Genomic DNA, 9,046 nt, shown 5'->3' on the forward strand with positions numbered 1-9,046 from the left:
AGATCACCTGAGCCTAGGAATTAGAGATCAGCCTAGGCAATGTGGCAAAACTCCACCTTTACAAAAAATTTAAAAATTAGCCAGGTGTAGTAGCATGAGCCTATAGTCCCAGCTACTTGGGAGGCTGATGTGGGAGGATCACCTGAGCCCGGAGAAGTTTAGGCTGCAGTGAGCCAAGATCACGCCACTGGACTCCAGCCTGGGCAACAGAGTGTGAGACCCTGTCTCAAAAAAACAAAACAAAACAAAAAATCTGATCTGCCAACTTAGCATTTTTCCACCAACTCGGGGAGCTGAAACTTTCCCAGGCTTCACAATCTTTTGCTTAGGGGACGCCCTTGTGGATCTTTTTCGATGCTTGCTTAGCCTATTTTGCTTCCTTAGCAGCCCTGCGAGCTTGTTCTCGTTGAGCCTCTTTAACTTCAAATTTCTGATTCCTCTTGGCCATTAGATCAGCAAGAGATGCATCACTAATGGCCCCCTGGAATCTGACTGCTTGGCAGTTTCTTTTCTTCTGAATTTCTTCCAAATGTCCCTTTTTGTGCTTTCTTCTGTAGAGGACAATCCGGTTTATCTACTAACGGTCCCTCTTGGAAAGGAAAGCTGACGTGTACTTTACGTTAAGAAACTGGAAAACCTCCCTGTCCGTCCTGGTGTAGCGCCTTCCATGTCTAGGGTAGACCTTGTACCCGCTTAAACTGTACAACTTGACCTTCATGGTGGCAGCTCCAGGGGAAAAGAAAAGATGGCAAAGGGAAGGAGAGGATCATGGGAAGAGCCATTCTTCTTATGAGAAGTTTTGGCAACTTTTGAAAAGTCTGTGCTTACCCTTATCTATGTACATATGACATCTACAGACTATGAACGCATTTTGCATCAGGACCTAAATAGCAACTATCAGGTTCTGAGGCATCTGCCCTCTCCTTCCTCCTCCCTGGATCTTGATTCAGCTGCTTTAAGATGGCTCTAGTGACGGGCCTCTTATTTTTCTGTTGAGGCATGGGCTTATTTAGCTATCCTCAGCCCCTTGAGATATATATCCCGCCTGAATTTTTCTGTCTGTGGCATCAGACTAGTATTTCCCAGCCTCTCCCTTTTTATTTCCTTACTTCGATGCTCTCACTGCATTCTCTCCTTTTTTGAACATAAAGATGCTTTCACTTATTTTAATGACCTCTTGTAAACCAGCCCTTTCCCTTCCCAGAGGTTTTTGCACACTTCCCTCCCTGCTTTCTTTGTTTCCACTTCTTCTAGTGGCTGTAAGAAGTGGGATTCCAGGCAGAACTCTAGACCCACCTAGGGCAGCAGAGGCAGACTGTGAAACCCAGGCCCACAGCTTTTGGCTGAATCCACATCAAACAATGAGACTGCTTCAATCCTCATATCCTTTTGTTGTGAATTGCAAGCAGGAGGCAAGATGGGCTTGTCTGGTAAATGCCACCTGTGGATCAGGTGAGATTAAGCCCACTGGATTTCCCTTCCCAGGAAGGAAGCAGGTGAACTGCCAGACTTTCCAACACAATCCCCTGGCTTCATGTGATAATGAAAACAGGCACCTATATGTGAAGAAATAGCCAGTTATAAGTGGGAATACTGAGTATACACAATGCCCAGAAAATAAAAACAGGCAGCTGGCAGCCTGAAGATGGAGAGAGCAAAGGGGAGATTTTTATTAAATGCTCTAAAATTGATTTAAAAAAAATTGTCTGCCTTTAGCGAATGAAGTCTTCTGGAAAACTACATACCTAGTGATAATTGGAAGCCAAGTCCTGGACACTTGCAACCACCCGCAATAAGATCAGAACGCGTGGAGGGTCTGGAGCACAATTTCTGTCCAGGAGAGGGGCCTTATTCCTATTATTCAAATAGACAGATGGATGGCATCTAACTTCCCTTCAAGCTCCACAATATTGTAATCTGGTGGCCTGGGAAGTTGAAGCCTAGCCACAAATGATACAAATTTGCCATAAAGTAAATAATTACCAATGAACAAGGAGGTAGAGGAGGGAGAATCTACCAGTGGGAGTTAATCAATCACACATACAAACTGCCCTTGAGTTGGACTTGCCTTCTAGAGCAGTGCTTGTCAAACTTTAATGTGCAACACGAATCACCTGGGGACCTTGCCAAAGGGAAAAAAAGAGAGAAAGAAAAGAAAAAGCAGACTTGGATTCAAAAGGTCTGGGGTGGAGTCTGAGCTCTTCATTTCCCTTCCTCCCTCCCTCCCTCTCTCCCTCCCTCTCTCCCTCCCTCTCTCCCTCCCTCTTTCTTTCTGTCTTTCTTCCTTTCTTTTTCTTTCTTTCTTTCCTTCTTTTTTATGGAGTCTCACTGTCACCCAGTCTGGAGTGCAGTGGTGCCATCACAGTTCACTGCAACCTCCACCTCCTGGGTTCAAGAAATTCTCATGCCTCAGCCTCCCAAGTAGCTGGGATTACAGGCACCCACCACCATGCCTGACTAATTTTTGTATTTTTAGTAGAGATGGGGGTTTTGCCATGTTGGCCAGGCTGGTCTTGAACTCCTGACCTCAGGTGATCCGCCTGTCTTGATCTCCCAAAGTGCTGGGATTAGAGGCATGAGCCACCGAGCCCAGCCTGAGCTTTTCATTTCTAATAAATTTAAGACCAGTGCTGCTGGTCTGTGGGCCACACTCTGGATTAGCAAGGTTCTCGAGCAGGGCTACCCAACAGAAATTTCTGTGATGATGGAAACATTGATATCTGTGCTAGCCACCAGCCATATGTGGCTGCTGAGTGCTTGCCATGTGGCTAGTGTGACTGAGGAGCTAAATTTTTAGTTTTACTTAAATTTAATTAACTTACTTTTTTTTCATTTTCTGTTGCTATCACAAAATTTAACTAATTTAAATTCAAATAGGCATATGTGACTAGAGGCTATTGAATTGGAAAGCATAGCTCTAGAGCAGTGGTTCTCAACCTTAAGTTTACATCAGAATCACCTGGAGAGCTTGTGAAAACACAGATTGAGGTTCCCACCCCCAGAATATCTGATGCTGATCCTGCTGGCCCAAAGACCACCCTTTGAATACCTCTGCTCTAGAATATGCATCATCCCTGATGTGGTAAGCTTCAGGGTCAGCACAAGAGTCCCTCGTCTTGTCTCTGGGCAGTGAGCCTCAGTCCATCCTTAGTGCCAGCAGGACCCACCTGGTGGCACTAAGCTCCAGTGAAATCTAAGCTTTCTCCCTGCAGGCCTTACACATAGATATTGCTGGCAGTGATTCAAATGGCTGCCATTGGGATGCTCCAGGAGGTCCCCTTGGTTATAAAATATCATTCCGATTACCAAGAAGCAACAGAACATACTGGTTAAAAGCATGTGCTGTACAGCCAGACTAAGGGAATCCAAGCTGACTTTGCTCAACACTGGCTGTGTGACTATGGGCATATAATTGCTTAAAGTTTATGCCTCAATTTTATCATCTGTAAAATGGAAACAATAACAGTACCTACCGCACAGAGAATCTTGTGAGAATCAAGTGCTTAAAATAGTAGCCTGCACAGTGTAAGTGCTTAGTACACACTGGCTATCATTACCCCTGCAATCCCAGCATTAGCAAATTGTTCCTTTCTGCTATGCATTTGCTCACCCTGCAGGTTCTCTGGAAATAAGCAGATGTTCCTAGGAAGCACACTCTGCCTACTGTACAATTTTGCTGAGGATTCAGGAGTACTCTGAGGTCCACTAGGGCATCCCTCTAGGTTATCCAAGGATGGAAGAAAGCTGATGAGGTAGGAGAGTGCCTAGAAGCTTGCCATACTCTTCATCCTCACTTCCCCATGCACAGTGAGAGCCAGGATGGGCCAGCCTACCTGTTTAGCACCTCTGTGTATTGATGTATGTCCAAAGAGGAGAACAGACATTTACAAACCCAGGCCTGAAGCTAGGCTCCATGCAGTTGTCAACAGGGCCAGAGGACCAGGAAGGGAGAGTGGGGACATTTGGTGAGGCTTCTCAAGGAAAGTCATTAGTTGAGGATGAAGTGATGCTAAGGCATATCCACCTCTATCCTTCCTGCTCCAACACTACCCCTACAGTGAGCCCATCAGCACTCTCCCAGGTTAGGCTTGTCCCAGACCCTCTTCCTTATTCCTGTGTGGCCATAGCAGAAGATGGCTGTATAGTCCAGAATTCCTGCCAAGTACCACCACACCCTGTAGTACCAGAGTCCCCCTGAACAGTGGTTCTCCCACAACCTCTCCTACTTGGTCCTGCTGAAGATGCTATCATAGAATTTGGGCATCACCAGGACAGAAGCACACCCTCTTTTGCCCTAGAAAGATACACAAATTTTAAAGCATTCTGTCATTTTACCCATCATTTAAGAAGTCTTAAAATAAAATTTCCAAAATTATTATCAGATGTCAATTTTATTGCCAAACAAGGTAAATGGGTAAACAAGTAAATCCCTACCTCCCCCAGCCCCCACAACCCCAGGACTACTGCTTATTACCAGGGGAACCATTTTTCCAGAGCCCCTCATTTGGAATGGTTGGAAGATTGCCACGCAACAAGGACTACCCCCAAAAGGGCTACCATTCAAGTCTGGTGTCCACCAGGACCACCTGGCTTAAGCTCGATCTACCCCATTCCTTCCTTTACCATCTTCTCTAATTTAGGATAACAGTATCCACAAATTAAGTGCTACTGCTTTCCAAGAACTAAATGATTTAACAGCTCCCTACCAGATAGGATCTATTGTCTCCATTTCACAGAAGACAAGAGGAACAAGTTGAGAATAGCTTGAATAAGTCAAGACACTTGCTCCTTTGCCAAACTCTTTGCCTTAAGTTGTGATAACCACAGGGAATAGATTTTCAGAATTTGATGGACGTCAGTCATTTTGTTATACTATGTTCCCGAATGCTGGCATTTTGGTATCTAAATTCTATCTCCCAGTAAATCTCTGACACCCAGTGAGAGAATGCACTGGGAAGGAGAAGTGTAGTGGCAGCATGAAAACCCTTCGTCAACATGAGGCTCGATGATGGATTTGGGAGATGCAGACACCATGCTCACAAGCCACAGCCTAAAGCAGCCTTGGGGCTGGAGGCAGGTGGGAGCAATGGAACCTTACAAGGGGCAGCTCAGCCTTCCCAGAACTTAGCTCTCCTTGGAAGAATAAGATGGCTATAGTTCCTCCCTTTGCAAGAACACTGATGCTGGAAGCAGTAAGGGTGGGCGTGCGCATGTGTATGTGCATGCACGCTTGCACATGTGTGCTCAAACACAGAAGATATGGATCATTCACAAGAAAGTCCTGTGAACTGTGTAAGTGTCTGACACAAAAATATGCTATCAGTACTGTACTAATGGAGGGCTGGGTGCCATGGCTCATAGTCCCAGCACTATGGGAGGCTGTGGTGGGTGGATAACTTGAGGCCAGGAGTTTGAGCCCAGCCTGGCCAACATGGTGAAACCCCATCTCTACTAAAAATACAAATTTAGCCAGGTGTGGTGGCATGCACCTGTAATCCCAGCTACTTGAGAGGCTGAGGCATGAGAATTGCTTGAATCCAGGAGGCGGAAGTTGCAATGAGCCGAGATGGTGCCGCTGCACTTCAGCCTGGGCGACAGAGCAAGACTGTCTCAAAACCAAACCAAAACAAACAAACAAAAAATTGTACTAGTGGAGAGGAAGAAAGGCAAGAACACTTCAAAATGACAGCTAATTTAAAAATCACTTTGGACTAGGTTTTTATGCTCATTTGAGACATGACTGTATTTGATGAATTGGGAAGTAATAACACTGCAAATGATCACATTATCAGCGTTTCTCTGAAAGAAACCATCCCACATTCCATATCCTAACATCTGCTACAGTAAAAAGATAGACAGATAGAGGAAGAGAGACAGAGACAGAGGGAGACAGAGCGAGAGAGATGAATCACCTTCAAGGGTATTGCCTGTCATGACTTTAAGAGAGGCAGCATTGAAAACGGCAAGAACTCTACCCTCTGTCCCAGCCCTGACCTATTGGAAACCAAAGCAGCACCAGGGATAGTAGTGAAGGGCTGGGGGCTTGTTGGGAAGATCCATGGGGTTGGGAGGAGATGCATGTAGAGAGAGATGCCAGGGAGCTCTGTGTAACAGAGCACATATGAACTGATGAACTGCTCTTGTCTAAAGACACACATAACCAAAGCATATGATGAGGTGTAATATTCAGGTGCTATGCCAGACACCTGAGGCCTCAGCAACATTTCCAGAACTGAGAGTTTTCTGCTTCTGGGTCCCTGAAAGCCCCTTTGCAGGCTGTGTGAAGAAATACCAAGTTTCCTCATGTTCCTCTGCCAAATGTTTCACTGGATGAAGATGTGGTCATACAGCAGAGAAAAGGCAAGCCTACATAGCAATCTTTGGGCTCAATTACCTGGAAGGCTTAAGAAGTGAGATATTCTGGTTTACTAAATCTCTTTATGGATTCAGTATTAACCAGAAATTTCTTTTTGTTGAGACTTTTAAACTGGAAATGGTCCTGCAATTTTGACTTTCTTGTCTCAGTAAGAACAGTCAGATGAGGAGCTGGCACCAAATGACGTTTGGTGAATTAGGACTCTGCACAGCCTGAGGGTCGGTTCTCTAGGTCGAAGATCATTATTTATGCTGCCTCTCTTAAAGGCATGACAGGTAATGCCCTTGAAGGTGATTCATCTCTCTCTCTCAGTTTATCTCTTTGTTTACTGAAATTTAAAGCTGATTAAGGGCATAGCATGAATTTGACCTGATTAATCAAGGCTTCTCCAAGAAAGAGAGCAACAGTGACTAAATGATGATTGAATGGTGGATGACTTGTCCTTAGGAGGCTGACAGTGTTTGAAGTTAGTGCCTTGAGGGACCATCAGGTCTGCCTGCAGATGGATACTCAGGTGAGAAGGTTGTTAAGCCCCCAACATGGAAACAAAGATGTCGTCTGCTCATGACATTGTACATACGTGATCTCCAGGGTCAATGATTGGAGAGGCTGTTTCTCCAGCACCAAGGGCAGTGCCTGACACATAGCAGCGGCTCACTGAAAATGTGTTGAATGAATGGAGTCCTGCCTAGCTGGTCTATACACATTTCCTCTGGTCACCATTCATTTGTCCATCCATCCCTCTGTCCTTCTCGCCATCCAGTATCTACGTGCTTACCATATGTGAGATGTAAAACCATTGGCTGTAGGGGATTCTATGCTAAACAAGATACAGCCCTTTATTTAGAGTCACCTCTATTTCAATGGACTTTGTAAAGGTGAAGAAATGATAAGTGATGGATTTTACAGAATAGTCTGAACACAGACTGCATTCTCATATATCTTCACTATCCTACAGGGTCTTTGCCTTTAGCAAATCCCGGTTACTACCCTCATTGGAGAGTCACAGTCTGCATGCTTCCAAAAAGAATCTTCCACCATCCTGTCTAGATAGGGTTGTAGGCATTGGGTCACTGCCTGAGCAGGACACTAAACTAAGCTTCACTGATGATTTAATCTGAAATCGTTTTGTCCTTCTTGCTTCCATGGTAATGAACTAAACCTAAGCTTCTTCCAATGCCTCCCATACCTCCTCACTTCATTTCACAGTCTCTGTTTTGTAGAACAAGGGGATGCTCCAAGAGGACAAATGTGAAGGTCTGTGGTCACTTCAAGGCTGCAATCCCCTGGGTGGTAAGAACACATCCACCATGGTGCTCTAAAGAAAATTCTGGGCACTTGTTAGAATATCATTTAGGGACAATTCCACCCAAAAGAATATACATCAGGAGCCATTTTTCCACCCACTATCCTTGTTCCACCTCCAACATTCTCTTGCTGCATTTCAGAATAGGAAACAACCTCTTCTCTCTGGCATTGCTTCAAGAAAAGGATATAAACAAGGGGCCCGACAACGATTCTGGAAATTGCTTCTCCTCAGAAAGCAATATGGATATTTATCCTAGAATATGGAGGTCGGCCTATACTCTAGCAGATGGTCTGCAACATTCTTTATTGTCACTAGGTTTGGCTTCTGTTTTTGCTTTTTTTTTTTTTCAGGGTTTCACTATGTTGCCCGGGCTGGTCTTGATCTCCTGGATGCAAGTGATCCTCCTACCTTGGGCTCCCAAAGTGTTGGGATTACAGACATGTACCACCATACCCAGCCCTGTTTTTGCCTTAATTCTACTTGGCTATGTGGATTTTTGTTTTTTGAAGAATCTAAAAGTTTCTGCGTTTACACAGTGCATCTCTCTAAGTGCAAACTTCTAATTTGGTGAGATTCAGGCCTGGGCCTTTGCAACACATGATACCATAATTTGTGCTTTTCAAGACTACTCCTTTCTGCACCAGGTCATGACAGTACATCACACTCTGTAACCACGGTACAGTTACCTGACCCTACCTGTTTATAGCAATTGCACCTTTGGTTCCAGAGTTGTAGAAGTGGGGAACCCATCTGGATTCTGATTCATTCTCACAGTGCTTGTGTGACAGACAGGGCAGAAATCATGATCCCCCATTCTACAGGTTGGGGAAACCAAGGCACAGAGAAGCAATCAACCCAAAGTCACTCAGTAAGCCAGAAAACAAACTAGGTAAAGGTCCAGGCAAGACCACCTATGTTCCTTTCAGTGCCTTATCTGAAAAATCAGATTGTCTCCTCCAATGAATGCACATACTTTGGAAGTAAGTAGTTTTAAAGCGGAATTTTCTATGGTTTCAAAAGCCCTTTACCAACTCAAGAACCACAAGGTAAGAACCAGAATCACATTAACCTTTTAGTTAAATGCTTCTGACTCATGGATAATACCAATTATTTCAACTCACTGACAACCTGGTTATCAACAAGAAGAAAATTTAAGGAAAAAATTCACCCATTCAATAAAAAAACCTCGGTAAACAGCTCCTTTCCTTGTTTCATGATATCTTGAGCCTAACACCCAAGCACTGCTTCCTTCTACAGAATACACCTTTTATATTTGTTGGCATGTGATGGAGTGGGGGTGAAGGGTTGACAAAGTGTGTGTGTATGGATGTGTGTGTAATAATCAGCCATTTCAGGGACAA

General features: G+C 44.5%; 1 pseudogene; it reads right to left on the reverse strand.

Moving 5' to 3' along the window:
* On the reverse strand, nucleotides 248-758 carry RPL24P3 (RPL24 pseudogene 3; annotated as a pseudogene).

This window comes from Homo sapiens, chromosome 14 (genome assembly GCF_000001405.40).
Source record: "Homo sapiens chromosome 14, GRCh38.p14 Primary Assembly".
Classification (NCBI taxonomy): domain Eukaryota; kingdom Metazoa; phylum Chordata; class Mammalia; order Primates; family Hominidae; genus Homo; species Homo sapiens.